The sequence below is a fragment of the Homo sapiens genome, chromosome 1 (assembly GCF_000001405.40).
Source record: "Homo sapiens chromosome 1, GRCh38.p14 Primary Assembly".
Classification (NCBI taxonomy): Eukaryota; Metazoa; Chordata; class Mammalia; order Primates; family Hominidae; genus Homo; species Homo sapiens.
The window spans coordinates 14,311,406-14,337,224 of NC_000001.11; the positions used below are offsets into that span (position 1 = coordinate 14,311,406).

The 25,819-nt window shown below is 39.7% G+C and overlaps 1 protein-coding gene across 6 annotated transcripts in view; it reads left to right on the plus strand.

The window, feature by feature from the left end:
* The window catches only part of KAZN (kazrin, periplakin interacting protein), a 1,225,220-nt gene that overhangs the window by 418,582 nt on the left and 780,819 nt on the right, over positions 1-25,819 (plus strand). The window lies entirely within an intron of this gene.

The following is a 25,819-nucleotide window of genomic DNA, read 5'->3' on the forward strand; positions in this document are numbered from 1 at the left end:
GCTTAGAAATCCCCTTATATTATAACCATGATGAAGGCAATTTCCTCCATTAAGACAGTGGACCTTACGGGGCTATAGAGATTTAGAGAAGATGGATGTATTGGTGGGGTGGAATAATCAGGACGGCATCGTGGAGACCAGAATCAAGCCACAGGAAGTGTGTCAACAGGGCTTTCTCTCCGGTAGAGTTTGACACAATGTATTCTGAGACATGACTGACTCTGAAAGACAGAGGCCTTCCTGATTCTTTCTTGTAGTGGTTCTGTTAATAGTACTTAGCATAGTGAATTAATAAATATTGGATGGATGGGGGTGGATGGATGGATGGATGGATGGAAGGATGAATGGATAAATGGATGGGTGGATGGATGAATAGAAAGATACAGGGAATAATATCCTAGTGAAGAGAAAAAGTAGTGCAAATGTATGGAGGTGGGGACCAGATGAGGCATGACCATGTGGCTAATAAACTTATGATGCTTGCAGCAGGGGAAGTATGCTAGGGAACTTCAGGAAAGTAAATGCCTAGATACAAAAAGTAAATCAAGGCCCTCCATAAGCTGGGAAGAGAATTCTTACTGGATATGGAAGTCAATTGGATGCCTTCTGCTGGAGAACGGCAGATGAAGAAAGACATGTTTGGAGAGCTGGTCTGACAACAGTGTGAAAAAAGAACTGGTGGGAATAGAAATAAGAGGGGAAAGCCATTTAGAGTATGCTACAGGGAAGCAGAGAATACAGGAAAAAATAAATGACTTTGAAGCCAGCAGACTCAGGTTCAAATCCTTGCTCAGCTGTGTGACATTAGACAAGTTACTAAATATCTCAGAGTCTTCATTTCCTCAAAACACCTGACATATAGCCCTGTTTCTTTCTCTTTGCAGATTACTTTGGGAATATCTTTTAAATAACAATAATAACAATTAAAGCTGTGCACTTACCTTCTAGCCGGCCCTGCGTTAGGGCTTTGCACACATTGCTTGTTTTCCCAACTTAATAGATACAACCATTCTAGGAAATAGGTAATATTATTAGCTGTTTTTAATAAAAATGGAGAAGGTGACATTTTAGGCAGTTTGATGACTTCAGCAATCTCTCTCACCTGGTAGGAGAAGCAGAATTTAAACCCAAGTTAGCCTGGTGCCTGAGCCTGCATTCATTATTTTTCTAATAAACGTTTTTATTGAAGTATAATATATAGAAACACCCTTGTATAATCCCCTTCTCTTTGAGTTTGTACTGGGCGTAGTAACTTGCTTCTAATGAGTAGAATATGACAAGTGATGAGATATCACTTGAATGATTGGGTTACAGAAGATGGTGACTTCCATCTTGGTGGCACTCTCTCTGTTGCCTTCTTGGCTTGCATGCTGCCACATTGGAGAGGCCCACGTGACAAGGAAATGAGCGTGACCTCTGGCCTATAGTCAGCAAGCAACTAAGATCCTCAGTCCTTAAAATATATCCTTCCCCAGGTGAGCCTTGAGATGAGACCACAGCCCTGGTCAACTCCTTACTTGAGGGACTCTGGAACAGAGGACCCAGTTAAGCTATGCCTGGATTCCTGAACAACAGAAACTGTGAGATTGTAAATATTGTTTCAAGCTACTACATTTTGGGGCAATTTGTTTGCAGCATTAGATAACTAATACAACATGCATAGAGAAATGTAGACAAATCAAAATTATACAAATTGATAAATTTTCACTAATCAAGCACACCACTGTAACCACTGATTGATCAAAGTAATTAGGAGATAAAACATTACCAGCACCCCAGAAGCTGTGCTCTATACTTCATGGTCCCCACACCTCTCCACCAGCCCCCCACCGAAAGGTTATCTCTTGACATCTAACATCATAGATTAGTTTTGCCTGATCTTGAACTCTCTGTAAATAGAATCATGTGTACTCTTTTGTCTCTGATTTCTCACTGGAGCCTGCCTTCTTTATCACTCCTTAAACAGCTTCATCAATGGAATGAGTCAACTTCATTGTTAAGCTTGTCTTGCTATTATGTTCATCTATGCCATAAAACTAATCCTGTGTACTTATATGTTTAACTTTTCCTTTCTATGAAGGGGTGGTGTTTACGCCTTTTATAAGCCACTTAAAGTCATTAAACTACCTTAAAGTGATCCTTTAATAATGTCCTTTGCTGCCCTAAATTCGATGGAATATCTTGGGTAAGTCACTTCACTTTTCTGGGCCAAAGTTTCTTGTGAATAAAATTAAGTGGTTTGACCTGCTTTTGAGTTCCATCTGTGGAATCTTAAACTTGTGAAAGAAGGTTATCATCTAGATCATCATCACCCCATATTATCTCCCCTTTACTCTGGCATGTTGACAAATCTAAGTAATTTTTCAAAATCTAATTTAATTTTAACACTTCCCAAAGACATATAAAATCGGCCACATGGGATAGTGGGATATTATGAAATGAAATAAATAATAAATAGGATGTGATTTCCAAAAGGGTTGGGAATCATAAATGTAGGAAAAAAAATGATGGCTTAGCTTTTTCAAGTGGAAAATGAGGCTAATAAAGATAAATTACAATCATAATTGCCTAGTTCTAATCAGTGGCAAATTACTGGTAAGTGGGTGGCTGGGAAGTTAGTCCCAGAAAAAGTCATTTGCTCTGTGATATTAGATACAGATATGAAAATGTAACCTTGGATAAAAACACTTTAGCTCCCATGGGCTATTTCTTTCCACATCTTTACATGTAAATACCTTCTGTTGGTTGTGTGGAGTTTGCATAACTCTGTATATGCCTGTACCTATGCCAAAAAGAGATTGCACTACTTGTAGAAAAAGGGAGTGAGCTCTCCACTTTGACCTGATCTTGCAACACCTACTGTGGTCATCTTGCAGTTAGATTTGTCAGAAACTTCTATGATAACTGTCTACTTAAAGCTGTTCAAATTTAAAACCATAAAATTTCCACTCCTTCCACATTACCCAGACTCATCACTCTGATATACTTGATCTGGCCCTGTTTATCTTCATTGACCTCATTGTCTACCATCTTTGCCTCCATTCCCTATGTCCTGGTTACATGAGATTCCTGTTGGCTTTTAAGTTTGGACAAGACACTTTCATGAGTCTAGGCCTTTTGGCACGGGATGGGCCTTTTCTCAAAGCTCCATTCGTGAGGCTTCTTTCCACTCTACGCAGTTCTCAATCACTGCATCCTCATTCTTGTAATGACATGACATCATTCTTTCATTCTTTTTTTTGTTGTTTAAAAGTAAATTTTTATTAAGATACAATTTACCTACTGTAAAATTCATTCTTTTAAAGTGTAGAGGGTCAGTGGTTTCTAGTATATTCACATGGTTGTGCAATCACCATCATTATTTAATTCCAGAATATTTTCATTACTCCCCAAAAAATGTCAGAATCCATTAGCAGCCACTCCCCATTCTCCCTTCTCCCCAGTCCCTGGAAACCACTTCCCTACTTTGTGTATCTATAAATTTATCAGTTATGGGTGTTTTATATAAGTGGAATCATGTGGTACGTGGCCTTTTGCATCTGGCTTTTTCACTCAGCATAATATTTTCAAGGTTCATCAATGCTGTATCAAAATTTCATTCCTTTATGTTGCTGAATACATGCCATTCTATGGATATACCACATTTTGTTTATCCATTCATCAGTTGATGGACAACTGTTTTTCTTTTTCACTTTTTGGCTATTATGAATAATGCTGTTATAAACATTCATATTCAAGTTTTGTATGACAGTCACTTCTTTCATTTTATTCCCTTGTTCTTTATCTGTCTCCAAAACCACAGAAGAAATGTTCCTTAAGGGAAGTTCCTTGTCTGGTTCATCCATCTCTGTTTTTCCCAAAGCCCTAGCACAGTGTCTGGCAACCAAACATTTTATAAATGAATACATACAGAACTAAACAGTGAAGCAGATAGTGTTATGGAACGTATTTCTAAAATCAACTTTGCTCTTTCAATAAGTAATAATTACATATAATACATCTAATATTTAACAAAGCATATATACTTTAATTATACAATTTGATGAGTTTTGACACATATAGATGCCTGTATAACCACCACTAGAATCAAGACATAAAACATTAATATTACCTTAAAATATTTCCTCATGCCCTTCCTTTGTTTATAGCCAGCCTCCCATCCCAGCCCAGGCAGACACTGACCTGCTTTCTAACACTATAGACCAAATTTGTCTTTGTTAGAATTTCATATAAATGGGATGATGTAGTATGTCCTCTTTTGTGTTTGGAGTCTTTCTCTTAGCATGTTTTTAAAGATTTATCCCTAGTGTTGCCTATATCAACAGTGTGTTCCTTTTATACTGTTGAATGTATTCCCTTGAAAGTGTATACCATAATTTGTTTACTGTTCACCTGGTAATTAATATTAGGGTTGTTTCCAATTTATGGCTTCTATGAATAAGGTTGCTGTAAACATTCATGTACAAGTCTTTGTATGAACATTTTTTTTTTATATTTTGGGGGTATATAGTGCAAGTGGAATTGCTATGTCTAATGGCAAATATCATTTAACTTTATGCAAGCTGCCCAACTTCTGCCCAGGTAGTTTTACCATTTCACATTCCCACCAGCTATGTATTAACTTTCCCGTAGCTCCGCATCTGCACCAAACTTTATATTACCAGTCTTTAAACTTTAGTCATCTGTGTGGATATGTATTGGCATCCCTTTGTGGTTTTCATTTGAAATTTCTGATGGCTTAATGATATTGTACATCTTTTCATGTACTTCCTGGACAGGTAAAATGTCTGTTTCTTCTCTGGTGAAGTATCTGTTCAAGTCTTTTGCCCATTCTGTTTTCAGTTGTAAGAGTTCTTTATGTTACTTTTCTTGTGTTCACTTTGTTTATTCGTATTTTTCAAGGAATTTGTGTATTTCAATTATATTGTTAAATTTATTGGTAAGAAGTGGTACATAATATTTCCATAATATCATTTTAATATCTGCAGGGTCTCTAGTGATGTCTCAAATTTCATTCCTAATATTGGTAATTTGTGTCTTCTCCCTTTGTTACTTGATCAACCTAGCTAATGGTTTATTAACTTTATTGATTTTTTAAAGTTTGATTTAATTGATTTTTCTCTATTGCTTGTCCATTTTCTATTTTATTGATGTCTGCTGTTACCTTTACTTTCCTTCTATGCATTTTGGGTTTAATCTGCTTATTTATTTAGATTCTTAGGGAAATACTTAGTCATTGATTTTAAGCTATTCGTTTTTCTTTTTATAGCATTTTTATAGCATTCAAAGTCATAAATCCCTAAATTTTGTATGTTGTTATGTTTTCATTTTTATTTAGTTCAAAATATTTCTCTAATTTCACACATGATTTGTTTTTTTGCCCATGGATTATTCAGAAGTATATTGCTTAATTTCTAGTTATCTGAGAATTTTCCAGATATTTTTCTATCATTGGTTTCTAATTTAATTCCATAGTGGTGAAAAAACAGTCTGTATGATTTTAAATTTTTTTCAATTTATTGAAAGCCTTGTTTGGGGGCCCAGAATATGATTATCTTGGTGAATATTACATATGGACTTGAGATGAAAGTTTACTCCATTATTGGGTCTGTTGAAGTAGTCTATAAATGTCACTTAGGTCAGATTGGTTGAGTATTGTTCATGTTTCCTATATATTTACTGATTTTCTGTCCACTTCTTCTATTGATTATTGAGAGAAGAGTGCTGCAGTTTCTCACTACTTGCGGATATGTGACCTTCTGCTTTCAGTTCTGTCATTTTTTGTTTCATAAAGATTGATTTTGAAGCTCTGTTATTTAGGGTTGTTATGGCCTCTTGATGAATTGACCCCTATATCATTGTACAATATTCATCTTTATCCCTCTTAATATTCCTTTTTCAAAAGCCTATTTCATTGATGTCAATATAGCTACTGTAGCTTTCTTATGATTTATTGCTTACATGGTATAATTTTTACCTGCCTTTGACTTTTAATCTATTTGTGTTTTCATATCTAAAGTAGATTTCTTGTACATAATACATAATTGGTTCTTGCTTTCTAAAAAAATTAGCTTAACAGTCTCTGCCATTTAAATGTAATGTTTGGATCACTTACATTTGATGTATTTATTATATGTGTGTGCTGAAGTCTATTATTTTGCTATGTGTTTTCTGTTTGCTCCATCTGTTTTTTTCCCTTTTTTTCTCCCTTCTTTCAGAATATTTGAGTATTTCTGAGGGTTCTGTCTTTTTCTCCATCTTCATTATTGACCTATTAGCTATACAGTGAGTCTTCTTTTAATGTCATCAATGAATTCTTGGAAATGGCAAATTTAAGTGAAACAACACACAGCAGGTCCTTGAATAACATTGTTTCATTATAACATTGATGAGAAAAAAAAACAATTGGTTTGCTATACATCATTTCACTTAAAGTCACAGTTTCCAAGAACCTATCCATGACATAAAGTGAGGAGTTATTGCACTTTATTTTTTAGGGGGCTGTGGTTTACATTATTTATCTCTGGGTTATCACAGCCTAACTTTAAATTATGCCTTATCATTTCATGTACCAATATTAGAACCTTATAAGAAAATTCTTTTTTCCCCTTTTCCATTTTTTGTGCTACTGTTATCATAGATTTTGTTTCTGCATATGTTATCAACCTCCTGATACCTTTTTATTGTTTTCATTTTAAACAGGTATTTATCTTTTAAAGGAACTTAAAATGAGAAACAATTTACTTTATATTTACCCACTTATTTCCAGTGTTCTTTATTCATTGATATAGATTCTTACAATGAAGAATTTCCTCTCACATCTCTTGTAACACAAGCCTTTCAGTGACAAATTCTCTCAAGTTTTGTATGTCTAGAAAAGTATTTTGCCTTCATTTTTGAAATATATTTTTGCTGGCTCTAGAATGCTATGTTAACTGTTTTTCTTTCTGCTCTTTAAAAATATTACTTCATTTTCTTCTACGTTGCATAGTTTTTGACAAGGAGATTCTTGTCATTTTTATCTTTGTTCCTTTGAGTTTAATGTGTGAGTTTTTTCTCTTCTGCTTTTAAGATTTTTCCCTTTGATACTGGTTTTCCGTAATTTGATTAGCGTGCCTTGGTATGGTTTTCTTTGTGTTTTTGCTGCTTGGGATTCCTTGAGTTTCTTAGACTGTGATGTATAGTATCACCAAATTTGGAGAATTTTTAGCTCTATTTCTTTAAATATTTTTTCTCTTCCCTTTTTGCAAACTTCTATAACATGTACATGAGATCACTCGATATTGTCGTGCAATTCAATGAGATTCTGCCCATGTTCCCTTCTGTGCTTCATTTGGATAGTTTCTGTGGGCATGTCTTCAAGTTCTCTAACTTTTTACTCTTCAGTATTTAATTTGATGGATTTAGTCCCATCCAGTTAAGTCTTAGTTTCAGATGTTATACGTCTAGAGACTTCATTGGTTCTTTATATATCTCCAATATATTTTATCATTATGTTCAGATTTTTCCTTTAAATATTTGGAAAGAGTTAAAAACAACTTTTAAAATCTTTGCTAATTGCTTTATCTCTGTACTGTCTGGGCCTGTTTCTGTTGACCTTTTATTTTTATTTATTTATTTATTTATTTATTTATTTATTTATTTATTTATTTATTTATTTTTCTGGTGATGGGCTCTGTTTTCCTACTTCTTGGCCTGTCAGGTAATTTTTTATTGAATGTTGGAAATTGTTAATTTTACATTTGGGGTTTAGATTTTGTTTTCCTTTAGAGAGTGTATGGCTCTGTTCTGGGGGGTGGCAGTTAATTACTTGTAAGCCACTTTCTATTAAGGTGGTTCCAGAGAAGCCTTTACCCTACTAAAATTCTGCTAGGTGTGGCCTTTCTAGGGTTTCTAGTGAATGAGTTGAGTGATTACTGAATCACCAGGGATAACTCTGGCTGAATTCAAACAATTCCTGAGCCTATGTGAGTTCTGCGAACTTTCAGCTCACTGCTCACAGGTAGATGTTTGCCTGCCTCACCCTACACATAGATGTGTAGAGATTCACCCTACACATAGATGTCTTTGTGTTCAGAAAAGACCCAAGTAGAGGGAGGGGGGCTCTATGCCGATTCTCGGGCTCTTTTTCTGTAGAGCCCCGTTCTCTCCCGAACTCAACCCTCAGATTCTCTGAACTCATATACTGTCCTTTCAACTCAGCAAATTCCCGGAACTCCACTTGGGATCCTCCTCCCTTCTCGACAGCCTGCAGTGTAAGCTCCGGGCAGAACATCAGGGCAGCCATGAGGCTTGCCTTGTTTGTTTCCCTTGTCTCAGGGATCACAGATCTGATCTGTCTGTTGCCCAATGTCTGAAAACTGTTGTTTTATATATTTCATCCAATTTTCTAGTTTTTGAAGGCAGGAGGATAAACCCACTCCCTGTTTTTCTATTATGATTTGAAGCAGAAGGTCTTTATAGAACACATGTTTAAACTGAGTCAAATCTGATTATTTTATCCCCAACCCTGACTCATTCATAATTTATTTCAACTGTAACTTATGTGTAGATTTGGTGAGAATAGTTTGTTGTTATTAAGGTCATCAAAGAATAACAATGATCAATGATCGGATGTTTATTACTTATCAGTTGTGGTGGTAAGCTTTTTACAACTATTCTTGTATTATCTCTATTGTAAAGTTGAGAAAATTGAGGCTATAGGATAGTAAGGACAAAGTCAGGATTTAAATTTAAATACTATTCTTTTGTAACCCACACCCATGTGTCTTAAACATCCCAAATCTTTGGTAGAATGAGGAGGCAGGGAAGCGCAATATGTGATTACCGCACACAGAAGCTCTTCACCAATGTTTTCCAAATTGGGGCAGGATGAAAGAGATATAGGTTCCTCAAAATGTCTGAGTCCTAATTCTTGAGGGATTATAATCTATATATTTATAATCTATATTTTATTTATTTCTCAAGGGATTCTTATACACAAACAGATTTGAGAATCACAACTCTGACTGAACTGGGGATTTAATATCTTTTCTCATGTTAGGCTTATCTCTAACTGCTTCCAAATGATCACAGGGATTGTATTTCTCTACCCTACACACCTGCAACCCCCCATTGCTCCATAATTTCAGTATCTACCCTGTGAATTCTGAGACCTCCAGCATCCTCCATCCTACCAAATCAAAAATAAAGGGGGACGTCAGCCATAAAATCTGTTTCACAATAAACAGCAAAAGCAGCCATGACTCAATATTTCCTGGCAGTTGCTTACACCTGTCCTCTGTATTTGCATTTAAATACAGTGACTTTTTCTTAGAAAAACCGCAACAGTTGGCAGACTTTCCTTTAGCCACTGGTACAAGCTGCATGGAATCCTGAAGCTTCCAGCTACAAAGTCATGCTGATATCAAAACATCATGTTTTAAACTTTGGGTTGAGTCACTCAGCTCTATAGTCCTCCATGTCCATGGGATTCAAATTCATGAGTTAGACATCTAAAGTCTCTTCCAGCTCTAACAGTGTATTATTCAAGATACTAGTTTTTTAGTTAACAAGAAAGTTGTCTGTTTTTGTTTTTATCTATTTATTTTTGCTTTAAGGCATTTTTGAAAGAGTTCATTTTAAAAATCATATTCTCTGGAATTAACAGTAAAAGTCACAAAAATGTGCGGTAGCATTTCCTGGCAGCCCCAAGTTGCAAAAAATGTACCATGAAGCACCCTTTCCACTTCTTAAATGCTCATCAAGGCTCTTTGAAGTGTATATCGTGGCTTACAAAATTTGGTTTGTCAAGGTGAAGAAGATTTATTGATCGAGATGTGGGCAAACAGTCAAAGGAAATGCTGAGCATTTGTCTTTTTAAAAACTCTATCTCAAAGTCAAAGCCAACCAGAACATTTCGTATCGCGAATGGCCGAGCAAGGGGAAAAGGAGATTGTTATCTGTGCTAAGAAGTCACTTCGCCCAGTCTCCTCTATATCCAAATGGGAGTCTTTGGGTTATAAAATATTGATAATTGTTGAATAGCTCTCACTTAAAGTATAACATTGAGGGTATTTAATTACAGAGGGGCATGCAGCATTTTTAAGCCTAAGTCTGAATTTAATTACCAAGGAAGTGAAAGACAGTAATAGAATTTGCTGTTTATAATTTTATCCCTGGCTCACTAAGGCAGCCCTAGCCAGCTGTGCAGTCAGTTATTTGCATTTGTTTGATCAGAAAATGATCATTGTGTACTATAAAAGCATCATTCATTTCCTATTACCATTGACCCCCAGAGAGTTTCACTCAGAACCTGCCAGGAATTTCAAATGGCAGGTGGTGGGGCAATATTTTTCTATGATTAATCACATAGCCCGAATTCAGTGATTACAACTTATTAAAGAGAGCACATTTCCTACTAATAAATGCTTAGTGCCAGAATTCAAAACTCAGAAGGTACAGAAGACTTAGAAAGAAGGTGGATACCAAATTGCAAAAGAAGAGAGCTTACCCATGGACTTCCCTAGGGAAATGAACTCTCACTGGGCTCTCGTTTGCTTATATTAGAACACAACCCATCAAGAGCCAGTTTGCTTCAACAGTATACATTTCACATTCTATTCACTCTAAGGGCTTTATAGCTAAATATGATTGTGAAGACTCAGGACTTAATTTTTGAAGCTCAACTTATCCACTGCTTGCTTAATCCTAACAAACTTGGTAGAGGCTCTCTGAAAAACTTGGTCTAAAAACCAATTAGAAGACATGGTGACATGTGCCTGTACTCCCAACTACTCAGGAGATTGAGGCAGGAGGATAGCTTGAGCCTAGGAGTTTGTGTCCAGCCTGGGCAATATGGCAAGACCCTATCTGTAATAAATAAATAAATAAAGTAAGTAAATAAAACCAAGTATGAAACAATGACGTGGCATTCTCTAACCAGTTGCATTTGCCCACAGAAAATGGTATGGTGTCCTAAGAAAAGTCCTATTCACACTTGAATACTAAATTCATGCTTGAATACTAGATTTCCATTCCTATAACTTTAGCCTCTTTGCCCTTCTTTGCTCCTTTGACAGCCTCTAAACTGTCTCCTGGAGTTAGTTTCATCCTCTTCTAATCCATTCTATAGGAAACCTCTTGACTGCAAGTTTTATAGAAATGTGACATGCTCCCAGTCTCCTACCTAAAGAAAAGGCTTCCAGTAACAGAATGGACTAGGTTATGCTGTGGACATAAATGGTGGCCAAATCTAGTGACTTATAAAAACAAAGATTTATTTCTCATTCACCCTCTCCATCAGTTTTGAGCCATGGAAGGGAGAGAGGAGTTGATGCCTTTTTAACTTCTTACTCAGGAACCAAGACAAGCCATCACTATCTTGTGTGGCACCCAATGAGTGTGGTGGGGGAGGAAGCATAGCAAATAGCAAAATCCCACATGTATTAGTTTGTTTTCACATACTTTAAAGAACTGCCTGAGACTGCATAATTTATAAGGGAAAGAGGCTTAATTGACTCACAGTTCAGCATGGCTAGAGAGGCTGCAGGAAACTTACAATCATGGCAGAAGGCAAAGAGGAAGCAAGGCACCTTCTTCACAAGGCGGCAGGAAGGAGAAGTGCTGAGTGAAGAGGGAAGAGCCCCTTATATAATAAAACCATTAGATCTCATGAGAACTTACTACTACAAGAACAGCATGAGGAAAATGGCCTCCGTGATTCAGTTACCTCAACCTAGTCTCTCCCTTGACACACAGGGATTATGGGGATTACAATTCAAGATGAGATTAGGGTGGGGACGCAAAACCTAACCATATCACCACACTAGCTCTTAGTGGCTTTGGCTAAGAAGTACTTCTGCTTGCACTTTGCATGGCCAATCAAGCCACGTGGCCATGCCTGGTGGATGAGCAGGGAGGTGCAATCTGATCATGGGGCCAGGAGGAGAGACCTGAAAACATTGGTGAACAGTATGAATAACTACATAGGCTAATGTTCTGGTCACCAAATCATTTACCTTCTTTCTTATATAAAATACCCTCTCCCCTTAGCAAAGTTTCATTTAGGCATGACAGTAAGCTCAAAGTCCAAGATCTCTGGGTGATGTGGGATAGTCTCTATGTCAGATCTGGATCCAGAACTAGAACATTCCAGCCCATTCTTTGTGCCAAGACCCACATCCACTGTTCATTTCAAGATAAAATCTTCCTATTTGCTCTGTTTCTCTGCTTTCTCACTGCCTCCCTTTATTCTCAACTTAATCTACTGCATCTTGAACCAATCAAGTGTTAGTGGGAGAATCACATTCTTATTTTCTTTTCCCTGAGATATTTGGCCCAATTGATAGGATTTGCTGGACCACATCTTGGCAGGATCTTTATTAGAGATTCCTTAATCCATTCAGAGGTTTTTAGCAAAGGAGATGATGGCTGTACCTTTCATTTGACCCTTGCCCCAGATTGAGTTTTAATTGAGTTTTATTGCTCTATGACTTTATGGACTCTTACTTAGTGTTTGGAGTTGAGAAGCAGTTGCTTCTTCTAACCTTTCAAGTACTTGGATTCATGAGGCTCTGTATTTCTTTCCTTTTCTATTTGCAAACTGGCCAACTCTTTTCTGAATTTATCTCATACTTACAATGCCTTGCCAAATGCAGCCCACAGCAACCTGTGCACCCTAATTGCATTCTGTTTTCCAACCTGTTCGTCTAAATGTGTATGTTCATTAGGGATGTGATGTGCCTCCCACTGTAACCACAGGTGACAATTTGCCAAATGTTTACTACTCTGTAACGTGGATCACTATCTCCCTAGTCCCTGACTACAGTTTCCTCTCTGGTCACTGCTGTTTGGTGAATTAGTGCCATATATTGTAGGCTTGGGTTATGGCAGCACCTAAATGAGGTCCCAATTTCAGTATTAGTGATTAGCTACTTGTGCTGCAGTAATAAGTGTCCCTAGAATCTCAACGTCTTAAAACTGCAAATACTTATTTCCTGCTTGCACCACATGTCCGTTTCTGGTCAGCAGAAATCTCTGCCCCACAAAGTGCTTACTCAGGGAACCTTGCTCATGAAGCCTCCATCATCTGAAATGACTCCAGTATTCATGCAAGGGGAGGCAAGGTGGTAAATGTTACCTTGGCTTTCAAAGCCTTCTTTCTAGAGAGGGCCATGTGTCACTTCCAATCACATTTCTTCAATCAAAATAAGACATAATGGCCTTATATGGCTTCAAGGGTGTTATGGAGTGCCATTCTACCAAGTTTCTGCAAAGGGGGGGAAGTACTTGAAACATTTATCTCAACTCGCACTACTGTTATTACTCCCTAATCTACTCTTATGGCCTTCATGTTTTAAAAGATTTTTACCAGCAAAACCACATTTATTATGTAATAATTTGTCCACTGAAAATATCCTAAGACTTACGGCTGCAAATATAGATGTTCTTTAAATAATTTGATATCAAATATCAAAACTAGGTAACCTTATGGAAAATTAATGTACAATTTCCATTAGGCCACAGAAAGTTATGAAAATAGCACAGGAACCACCATAATTACTTTTGTGACCCTAAAAATACAGATGCCATAGTAAGGCAGCCATTATTCGGTCTTTATCAAGTAACTTCTATGTACAGAATTTTCTTAGAAGACGGAGATTAGCTGAAAGCGGGGGAACGAGGACTTGCAAAGCCATCTTAATGTGCTTTATAATTTTGGTGGCGCAATTTATGACCCCCACTACCTCCACTAGCTCACATGGACATGTTGTGTGTGTTTGTGCTCTCCCTCTCTCTCTCTCTTTTTCACCTCGGATATTCTTGCATGGAGATTAAAGACAACAGCCACCATCACTCTGAGCATTAAAGCCAGATGGACTCCACTGAAGCAGAGTAGAGTTGCAGTCATCTAAATTATTTTGTATTTGATGCTAACTTGAAAATGCTGCCACCTGACTACAGTGTGTCTGCTTCCCTACATTTCCGGATTAGCTTTATTCCATGTTTAGACTATTTCTGAGAAAATACCAAAGATCAGTCACTCAAATAGTGTTCATCTGACATGACCTCTGAGCATCACTGGACACAGCTGATCTATAAGACACCATAAAGCATACCAACATGTGCATGGTAGAAATTACAGAAAAGTAGGAGAGAGAGAAAAAACAGGCAAAAGAATATTCAAAAAAATGGTCAAAAGTTTCCATATTTGGTAAAATATACAAATCTACATATTTAAGAAACTCAAGGAACTTCTTAATATCAATACCACAGGAGGATTTCAATAAAAGATCTAAGTAGGTAGAAGAAAGAACTCAGCAAACTTGACGTGGGTCTCCCATTTGAGAATCCAAGAGAAATAACAATAAGGAAAAATGAGCAAAGCCTAAAAATTATTATAAAACACCATCAAGCATACCAACTTTTGAAACACTTTCATCACGTGGCTTGAGACAACCCTGTGTCTTAAGTCTCCTCCAACTACCCCATCTACTTCTTCTCCATATCCTTTGCCGATTTCTCCGAATCCCCCTCTCCTCTTAGTGGCGGGATCCCTGGGATTCCAATCCAGAGGACTCTTGGCAATCTACACCCACTCCACAGGTGAATGCACCTGTCTGTCCTGGCTTGAGAAATCATCTCCACATTGAGAACTCCTGTAGCTCTGTCTGAAGCCCAGACTTCTGCTGTGAACTCCAGATTCCATCAAACTGCTTAATTGACATCTCCCCTTGAGTGTCTCATGGTCATCTCAAACTTAACAAAGTCAAAACTGAAATTCTAGTTTCATCTCTCATGTCTGCCCCCTACCCCCGCCCCACCGCCGAGTTCCCACCACCAACACATCTAAGGAAAAGAGAACTCTATGCTTCTCATAACTCAGGCTATATACCAAAAAGCCATCCTTGTTGTGTCTGTTCCTTTCCCATACCACATGTAACCCATCTGGAAATTTTATTAGCTCTATCCTCTTCAAAATATTATTATATCCAGAATCCAAACTCCTCACCACCTTTGCCTCCACAACCTGATCAAGCCACCATCTCTCACTTGGGTGATTGCACTGGGTTGCCCCCATCCTTGCCGTTGACTCTCCATTCTAACAACACAGTAGCCAGGATGGCCCTTTGAAAGTGAACTTGGATCAAGTTGTGCCTCTGCTCAAAGCCCTCCAATGGTTCCCCATCCTACTCAAAATAAAATTCCAAATCCCTCCCGTCTCACACAACTCTGCATCCTCATGCTCCCCTGGTACCTCTCTCACCTCTCTCTCCTCTTTCCACTCCCTGCATCCTTCCCTGTGCTTGGGTCACCCTGGACCCCTGAATGTCCCTTAATCTTGGTAATCACTCTGCCACCTCAGGACTTTGCACTTAACATTCCAATTTCTGCACAGCTCCCTTCTTCGCTTCTTTTAGGAGTCTGTTCATCCATAAGCTTGTGACCTTCTCCGTGATTTTTCTGATGATCCCACATACAATAGTAATCACCTCTTCCCCCATGTTGCCTGTCTCCCTCCCCCATCCTGCTTTATAGCCTCTGGTGCACTCATAGTACATAGTTATTGTTGATTTGTTTGTCATGGATCTCCTCCTATCCAACATCAGCTCTATGAGAACAAGCTCTTTGCCTGTTTGATTCAATATCCCCAGTTCCTAGAACAGTACCTGGAACAGTTAGCACTTTGTAAACACTTATGCAACGACTGGAGGAATGTGTCGGCTCAAGTTAACAAGTGTGCCTCAAGGAATTACTTATTTAAAAAGATAAAATATTAATGTTCTCAAGGGTTGATTTTCTTTTTATAAGTTAGAGTAGCTTTAAGGTTATACATAATACAATGTCACCGTCACTGACTTGTATTTCAATGTGTTCTCTCCAATAGTGGAGAAAGGGGGAATTATAGCCAGCAGGTTGGAAACCTCTGACCACACACCTCCTGAGCCCCAGCCACCACAGATCCTGCTTATTAGTCCCCCCACACGCTGTCCCTTCCCATCTTTTCTGAAGCCCCTACCTGGAATGCCGAACCCACCTCATTTGCTATGGCGAATTCCCTCTCATCCCCCTAGCGGGCCTCAGTCTCTCCCTCGTCTGTTCTCCCTTGGAGCTAAGCTCTGTCTCTGCCCTCCTATTAGACTAATAATGTGTGAGCTTGCCTTTCTCAATGCCTAGAGTCTAATTATTTAAGAGCTGTATTTTATTCATGCTTTATTCTCCAAAGCCCCTTGAACACAAGTGCCCATCAATAAAGATTTGGTGAATTAAAAACCTGGAAAGTTGTGGTAGACTGACTCTCCTCATCTTTGCTATTGATGACCCTTTGCTGAAGCCACTGTTTACTCAAAGAGAATGGGCTATCATCAGCCCCACGGTGTTCTTTGTACAAACACTAATCACGCATTCTCCATACTAAATTCACAGGTGGCTGAGGGAAAGGATCCCCTTTCACAGACCATGGAAAAATAATTCTGCCTACATGAGAATGCTTAAAGAAGGGGAAATTAAATAAGATGGTCTTGCTAAGCTATCTGGAAGTGAATCTTTCATAATAAAATTACATTAGCATCAGAGATTCTAATATCTAAGCCTATGGATCACTTGTTTTTTTCTTATGAATATTGTATGTTTAATGAACAAAAATGTCTGTGGCTCATGTAATGGAAATAACATTTGATACTTTTCACCCACTATAGACCAGGCGGAAAATAATTAACCTATTTCCTCCCCAATGGAGTAATAATTTAAGCCTCCAGCAAAGGCCATACTGCCCCTAATCTCTTCCAGTTCTTTTCTGTCCTTATCAGAATGTTCCTTCTCCTACCAATCTCAGTTTCTTTAGCTACAATAGATAAAAGTGATATGTATGTGTGAATTTAAGAAGAGATATATTGCTTTATTTACTATGCTTTTCCATTTTCCTCTGCATAGCTTCTCTATTCTCAATTCCCCTCCCCTTCCAAAACCTCCCTTACTTTGTGAAGTCTCTCGCATATGTGTGTTGTACGCATGCATTCTTAAGAAACTCTAAGAGGCCAGGCATGGTGGCTGACGCCTGTAATCCCAACAGTTTGGGAGCCCGAGGCAGGCAGATCATGAGGGCAGGAGATTGAGACCATCCTGGCTAACACAGTGAAACCCTGTCTCTACTAAACATACAAAAAATTAGCTGGGCGTGGTGGTGAGCGCCCGTAGTCCCAGCTACTCGGGAGGCTGAGGCAGGAGAATGGTGTGAACCCGAGACGTGGAGCTTGTAGTGAGCCGAGATTGCACCACTGTACTCCAGCCTGGGCAACAGAGCAAGACTCTGTCTCAAAAAAAAAGAAACTCTAAGAATACTTAAGAAGACATCCCTAACTGAAAAAAAAAAAAAAAAAAAAAAAGCCCTCCAGATTCTATGTACACATGGGTGGATCAAAGGATTGTGCCTTTATCAAGATATTCCTGTATGACTGTACCTCCTTAGATAGTACATTGTGCAAAATATGTTGGGAGGGTGACATGTCTAACAGAAGCATTAGCAAAATAATGACTCAGAGGGAAATAGGTGTTCAGGATGTAAAAGGACATAGAACTCATATTCAGTTCTTTTATGGATACAAGAAAAGACACAACTCAAACTACCTTAACCAAAGACAAATTTTAATGATTCAGGTGAACAAACAATTTAAGTGTATTACCAGTTTCAGATGGAGTTAGATCCAGGTGCTGGAACAATGTTGTCAGAAATCTCTCTCTCCCATTCTCTCTGCTCTGCTGTCTCCTTCATTGGCATCAATTTTAGGGATGTTCTTCCCACAAGAAAATGAGATGGCCACTAACAACACTGAGCTTGTAACCTACTAGATTAGCGGCTCCAGCAGAAGGAGGTCATCCAGGAAAATGTTCTGTTGGCTTAGCTTGGGGGATGTTTGCATCACTGTGACTAGAGAAAGGGGCTGAGGTCAGCACCACCTACACCACATAAACAGAGAGTGTGGGCAGAGATAGTCCCCAAAACTAAATTCAGAGTGCTCTAAGCAGAAGAGGGAATGAATGTTATCAGACAACAATGAGAAATATCCACTATACCGCTTCATAGGAAGAAACATTGAATACATTGGAGAAGACTTGGCAGGGACATGATTGGCAGATCTAAAATGTGGGTGTGCAATTGGATGATCTGGGAAGAGCACAGCAGAACTGGGATCAGTGGGTGGGCCAGGTCTGCCCACTCCAAAGACCATGTTGGTTCCTCTACACCTTGCCAAGCTACACAACTAGACAGCAAAAACAATAACCAGACAGACCTCAGGTTGAAGCCCAACCCTGCCTCTCAGTCACTCAGCCCACTTATTTAACTTTCTTGGATGTCAGCTTCTCCATAAGTCAAAGGATCATTGGAAGGAAAAAGATAAGCCCGAGCTGAGGTTACAGCCAGCTCAGTGCAAAGCACTGGGATTCATTGCTCAGTAAGTGTTGGTCCCCCTACCTGTTTTCTTCACTTCTAGCATGTTTTACAATTTTGTTTTGGGATCGTCTTCTAGGATGGAAGAGTCTAATTTCATAAAACATGCAATAAATAATTCCTAACACTTTCTAAAGCTTTTGAATCACATGCATTAATGAGGATAGGGTATTGCCAATTCAGAACACCTGGAAGCTGCTCAGGGCACACTCAAGCTCCTGACAGCTGTGTGGGTTCTCTCTGAATCTGTTAGAGTAGCACTTCTGCAGTATGGAAGCAAAGGAAACTCCACAGTAAGTGGAAAGATGGGCACTGGGAGGCAAAGGGAACCCAACTGCAGAACTGGACATTTTGTTGGGGTTTTTTTGCCTGTTCTTATTAAACACATACAAAATTAATCCATCTTACTGTGGAAGAGGAGTATCTGCAGTCAAATATAACCACCAAATAAGCTACTGCCCATTTCTCCCAATGCTCTTATCTCTTTCCTTTCTTCACATTAGGATTCCCCAACCTACTATTGGCTGATCAGAAAAGTGAGGCTCCCACAATTCCATCTGTGCCAGTGGGGAGAATCCTAGCTGTGCCAGTGAGGAGAAGAAGCATTTTACTGAAATTGCTCCTTCCAGCCAGACCACACTCTCTCCCATTAATCCCTTGGAAATTTCACTGCAGGTCTCAGAAGAAAAATGAAGACCACTTATTTGACCTGTACTGATGTGCAATAACACCAATTCACTTGAAAAGCCAGATTTGCCATCAGGGACTGTGTCTCTCTGCTTTGCACTTTTCAACTTGAAAAGTTGCCATCAGGGACTGTGTCTCTCTGCTTTGCAACAACATAAATACATGTATGTGGTCATCACGGACTTTCAGAAGATCCCAAGCAACTGGAAAAAAAAAATTCTAAGCATGAATGCGTGGGGGGTTGGTTATATAGATTATGCTACACACATACATAGGAACACTATGGAACCATTGCAAAGAATAAAACAAAACTATATGTGTAAATCTGGAAAGACTCCCGGGATATATCACTACCTGACAAGTTCAACCTATGGAAGAGTAATACTTTATTTAGGGTATATATAGTTTCATAAAGAAAAGTGCATGGACATATATTGATACATTGGTGTGTGTACACAAAGGAATAGTACAATCCCCTGTTAGCTGGGTCTGTGGCTTCCTTGAATAAAGACTACAATTCCCAGACTCCCTTGCAGCTAAGATTTGCCCAATGGTGTGAGCATAAGAGATAGGTACAACTTCTCAGCCTTGTTTTTAAATGGAATAGGAAAGTCCTGGTGGCCCCTTTTACCTCTGCTGTGGAAGTGGTGGTTTTGGGCTCTGGCCTAGCATGCAAAGAAAAGAGACTGTACTCGGAAACAGTGAGATAGAAGGGGCTTGAATCTCCAAGTGAGAGGCATCCATGACTGCATGGATAGCCCACCCCTAGGCTGTGATATGGGACGGAAATCAGCTCCCGTCTTATATATGCACCCGCATTGTGGAAATCTCTTTGTTAGAGCAGTGGGCTCTATCCTCATATGAGCAGGATAGTCTCCAAACAATTGACAGTAGTTTCTGAGATATTGACAGTGGTTTCCAAGGTATGGCATTGGAAGTGAGAAGAGAGGGATTCTTACTAATTTTACTTTTATACCTTACTGCTGCTATTTGTAAATGTTGCAATAATGTTTTACTTGTTAATTTTCTTGGACCTCAGGTGTCAAAATTGGGTTAATTATAAGCTGTGGTTTGTAATACACATTTATCATTGGTCTATAAAGGGGCCTCTTTTATTTAGTTAATTCATTTTTGTTCTCTTCTTAAAAAGATACTAAGCACCGTCTATCACCCGAACAACAAAAACTAGAACCTTCATCTAACCATATGCTGCTATCCACCCCATCCCATCCCCTGCTTCCCCCTACCAGGAATAAATAACCATTTTCCCAATTTCCATCATTTCCTTGCTTTTCTTCTTCTATATATTTTATTGCATTTGTATGCACGCTTTAAATGCCTATTTTTAAATGTTAGCTGGCTTTATACTTATAAAAAGAATATCATGCTATATATAAAATTTTGACAATTTTTATACTTAATATTATATTTCTAAGATACATCTGCATGATTTGCAAGTTGCTATAGTTCTGGAGTTGACAGAGTTTCTGTAAAGGGCCAGAAAGGAAAAATTTTAGGCTCTGCAGGCCACATATAGTCTCCATCACATTCTTCTTTTTTTATTTTATAACCTTTAAAGAAATGTAAAAGCCATTGTTAGCCTGCAGACCCCACAGAAATAGGGCCAGGCAGTTTCCCGACCCTGGCTCTGGTTCATCAGTTTTGATTGCTGTATAATGTTAGCTAGACCATGCTTTATTAATCCATTCTTCCATCAGTGATGCTTGGTCCATTTTTAAGCTTTTGCTGTTGGGCAGAGTGTATTCTCAGTATCTTCTGGTATACATGAGCCAAAGTATCTTTGGGAAGTTCTCCAGGAGGTGTGGAATTGCTGAGTCACGGGAGATGGAATGTCCACCTTTGGGGATAATGCTGAAGACTGAAGGCAGCATTTCAGAGACAGGAATGCCAAGCGCACGATGGCCTCAGAGGCTCTGATGTTTGACATTTGCTGCCTCTGAAGACTTCCCTGACTGTGCTCCACATGGTTCTTTTGCTACTCACCATTCTCATCTAGCTCTTTTATGGAGTTGTTTTATTTTTTTGTGCTCTCATGCCCCAGCCTGGACATAATTCCTTCCCAGTTATGTTCAGTAGTAGCACCTTAATTGCACCTCCTATGGAACAATCAGCATGAATATGAGCTCCTGCACTAGACTTGGACTCCAACATCTGGGATCTGCCAGTTTCTATCTGTTTGGCCTTGGGCAAGTCACTTAACAGCTTTGAATTTGAGTTTTTACACCTGAAGGAGCTGTGAGAATTCCTGTGCCTTTGTTCATCACGTGGCTGCAAAGAACAGGAAGTCACTCTTAGGTGCTCAGCAAAACTGAAATTAAAAGGGTTTCTTTTTTTGTTGTTTTTTCTTTTTAAGTTCTGGGGTACATGTGCAGGATGTGCAGGTTTGTTACATAGGTAAACGTGTGCCATGGCGGTTTGCTGCAGCTATCAACCCATCACCTAAGTATTAAGCCCAGCATGCATTAGCTATTTTTCCTTATGCTCTCCCTACCCCCATCCCACTCCCTGACAGGCCCTGGTGTGTGATGTTCCCCTCCCTGTGTCCATGTGTTCTCATTGTTCAGCTCCCACTTATAAGTGAGAACATACAGTGTTTGGTTTTCTGTTCCTGCATTAGTTTGCTGAGGAAAATGGCTTCCAGCTTCATCCATGTCCCTGCAAGGGACATGATCTCATTCCTTTTTATAGCTGCACAGTATTCCATGGTGTATATGTACCACATTTTCTCCATCCAGACTATCATTGATGGGCATTCGGGTTGATTCCATGTCTTTGCTATTGTGAATAGTGCTGCAGTGAACATGCATATACATGTATCTTTGTAACAGAATGATTTATATTCAAAAGGAAGTTTAAATAAGAACTGGAAAAATGACAGCTGCTCCAGCATGATGGACAAGGTCCTTCAGGGCCCTGGTGCAAGACTCTGTGCCACTCTACTTCTCATTCATCATCAAGCAACTATTGAGCACCTACTATTTGCCACACTATTCTAGGTGCTTGGAATGTGGCAGGGAATTAAACAGAGATCCCTGCCCTGAAGGGGCTGATATTCTAGTGTGGAGAGAGAAACCAAAATCAATGAACATAATAAATGGGGAAAATAAAAGATTCGTGGTAATGAGTGCTTGGACAAGAGAAACAGCATGGACATGGATTAGGGATGCTGACAGGGGCTGGTGGGGGGTGTCGCTTGTTAAATAAGGTGGGTGGAGAGGGCTTCAGTGAGGTGGTGGGATTTGAACAGAGATTTGAAGAGGTGAGAGAATGAGGTGTGGGTGTCTGGGGGAAGTTTTCCAGCAATGAGCAAAGTGGTCAAAGGCCACAGAAATGTGGCTGCCCCTGGACACCTCCTGGAGCCCCGTGAGTATGGGAGAGGGAAGGACTGAGGCCATCACCCAGGTCACATAGGAGGCGTGGTCATCATAAGGACTTTGGCTTTCACCCTGCAGGAAATGGGAAATCAGCCAGGTCATAAAGGAGGCATGGCCATCACAAGGACTTTCACTTTCCCCCTACAGGAAATGGGAAGTCGGCCAGCCCAGGCAAGGTTGGCTCATGCCTGTAATCCTAGCACTTCGGGAGGCCAAGGTGGGCAAATCACCTGAGGTCAGGAGTTCTAGACCAGCCTGACCAACATGGTGAAACCCCGTCTCTACTAAAAATACAAAATTAGCCAGGTGTGGTGGTGTATGCCTGTAATCCCAGCTACTTGGGAGGCTGAGGCAGGAGAATCGCTCAAACCCAAGAAGCAGAGGTTGCAGTGAGCCGAGATTGCACCACTGCACTCCAGCTTGGGCAACAGAGCAAGATTCCATCTCAAAAAAAAAAAAAAAAAAAAAAAAAAGGAAATGGGAAGGCAGTGGTGGTCAGGCCATAAAGGAGGCGTGGCCATCACAAGGACTTTGGCTTTCACCCTGCAGAAATGGAAAGTCAGTAGCCAGTTCATAAAGGAGGCATGGTCATCATAAGGACTTTCACTTTCACGCTGCAGGAAGTGGGAAATCAGTGGCCAGTTCATGGAAGAGGTGTGGCCATCGTAAGGACTTTGGCTTTCACCCTGCAGGAAAAGGGAAGTCAGGCAGGATTAGGAGCAGAAGAGCCATGTGATGAGGTTGCAACCAGCTGAAGGCTGGGCTGGGGCTGGGGCTGGGGAATCTGCTTTTGAGTTCACTCAGGTGACTGTTGGCAGAAGGTAGAGTTCCCTGTCACATGGACCCTTTTGTGGGTTTACACATGACATGGCAGCTGACTTCCCCCAGAGAGAGACAGAAGCAGAGAGACAGACAGACACAGGACAAACGCAGAGGCAGACAGAGACACAGACAGATGCAGAGAGAGAGACAAAAATCCACAAACTCAGAGAGAAATAGAGAGGAAGACACAGAAATAGACACAGAGACAGAGAGTGAGAGAGTGACACAGATAGATATAGGCAGACACTGATATGGTTTAGGTGTTTGTCCCTCTGAGTCTCATGTTGAAACGTGATCCCCAGTGTTGGAGGTGGGGCCTAAGAAGTGTTTGGGCCATGGGGGCGGATCCCTCATGAATGACTCGGTGCCCCCCCCCCACCACCCCAGTGGTGATGAATGAGTTCTTGCTCTGTGAGTTCACAAAATAACTGGTTGCTTAAAGGAGGCCGGCATGTCCTCCTTTCTTTTTTTTTTTTTTTTGGAGATGGAGTCTCGCTCTGTCACCCAGGCTAGAATGTAGTGGTGCGATCTCGGCTCACTGCAACCTCCACCTCCTGAGTTGAAGTGATTCTCCTGCCTCAGCCTCCCGAGTAGCTGGGACTATAGGCATGTGCCACCACACCTGGCTAATTTTTGTATTTTTAGTAGAGACGGGGTTTCACCATGTTGGTCAAGCCGGTCTCAAACTCCTGACCTCAGGTGATCCGTCCACCTCAGCCTTCCAAAGTGCTAGGATTACAGGCATGAGCCACTGCACCTAGTCCCTCCTCTCTCTTAACCTCTCTTTTGACCTCTCTCTGGCTATGTGACGCACCTGCTCCTCCTTCACCTCCTGCCATGATTTTAAGTTTCCTGAGGTCCTCACAGAAGCCAAGCAGAGGCTGGTGCCATACTTGTATGGCCTGCAAAACTGTGAGCCAAATAAACCTCTTTTCTTTATAAATTACCCAGCCTCAGGTATTTCTTACAGTAAAACAAAACAGACTAATATAGGCGTGCATGTGCGCGCACACACACACACAGAGAGAGAGAGAGAGAGAGAGGCAGAAATTCAGAGATAGAGATGGAAGGACAGAAAGTCAGAGAAACAGATGGACAGGGAAGCTCTCACTTCTGTTTTGTTCTATTGGTTGATGGCACAATGGAAAGAATACCAGAGCTGGGGACCACTGGAAACAATCTAGGACAAAGAAGACAAACCAGAGAAGTTGGTCAGAAGGCTCCTGCAGCAATGCAGGTGAGAGACACTGGGGTGTCCCTCACCACGGAAGTAGCAGCAGAGGAGAGGGAAGTGCTGGGTATATTTTGGGTGGGTGCTTACAAACAGGATGTCCTGACTCATTAGATCTGAAGTATGTGAATAGGTAATGGAGTAAGGATTGCTCCAAGGCTTTTGGCCTGAGCAACCAAAGAATGGAGGCTACTAATCTGTCTCTATGGATTTTCCTATTCTAGATAGTTCATATAAATGAAATTATACAATATGTGGCTTTTATGTCTGGCTTCTCCCACTTGGTGTATTTTCAAGGTGCATTCATGTTGCAGCATGTATTAGTACTTCATTCCTGTTTATGGCTGAATAATATTCCATCATATAAATATATCACTGAGTGTTTCTCCATTCTTTAGCTGATGAACATTTGAGATGTTTCCAGTTTGGGGCTATAACGAAGGATGATGTATGAGCATCTCTGTATACAAATTTGACAGTTTTCAATCCTTTTGAGTATATATCTGGGAGTCAAATGACTGTGTCATATGCTAATTCTATGGTCAACTTTTTGAGGAATCACCAAACTCCTTTTCACAGCAGCTGCACCATGTTACATTCCTACCAGCAATGCACAAAGGTTCCATTTTCTCTACCTCCTCATCAACACTTGTTATTGTCTTTTTTACTTTAGTCATTCTCATGATTGTAAAGTAGTATCTCATTATGGCTTTGATTTGCATATCTCTCATGACTAATGATGTTGACTATCTTTTATGTGCTTTTTGCCCATTTGTATGTTTTTGGACAAATGTCTATCCAAGTCCTTTGCCCATACATAAATTTTCTTTGTCTCTTTGTTGAATTATATTTTTTTATATAATCTGGTACTATATTCTTAGCAGATATATGATTTGCAAATATTTTCTCTCATTCTGTAAGTTATCTTTTCTCCATCTTGATAGTGTCCTTTGGTGTACAAAGTTTTTAATTTTTATGAAGTCCAATTTATTCAATTTTTTGTTGCTTATCTGGACAGACTACAAATACTTATCCATGTAAAAATGCAATAGCATTGTCAGAAGGAGGTGAGAACAGGTTCCAAGTGGGAAAAATAACAAACATCCACTGCAATTAGCAGCTTCACTGGTTGTTAGACAATTTAAATGAGATGACGCATATGAAGCACTTAGCACAGAGTAAATGCCTGGTAATTGTTAGCCCTTATTATTTGAAGCTAGCACAAGTGTTTGATATGTAATTTTGAGAAGAATA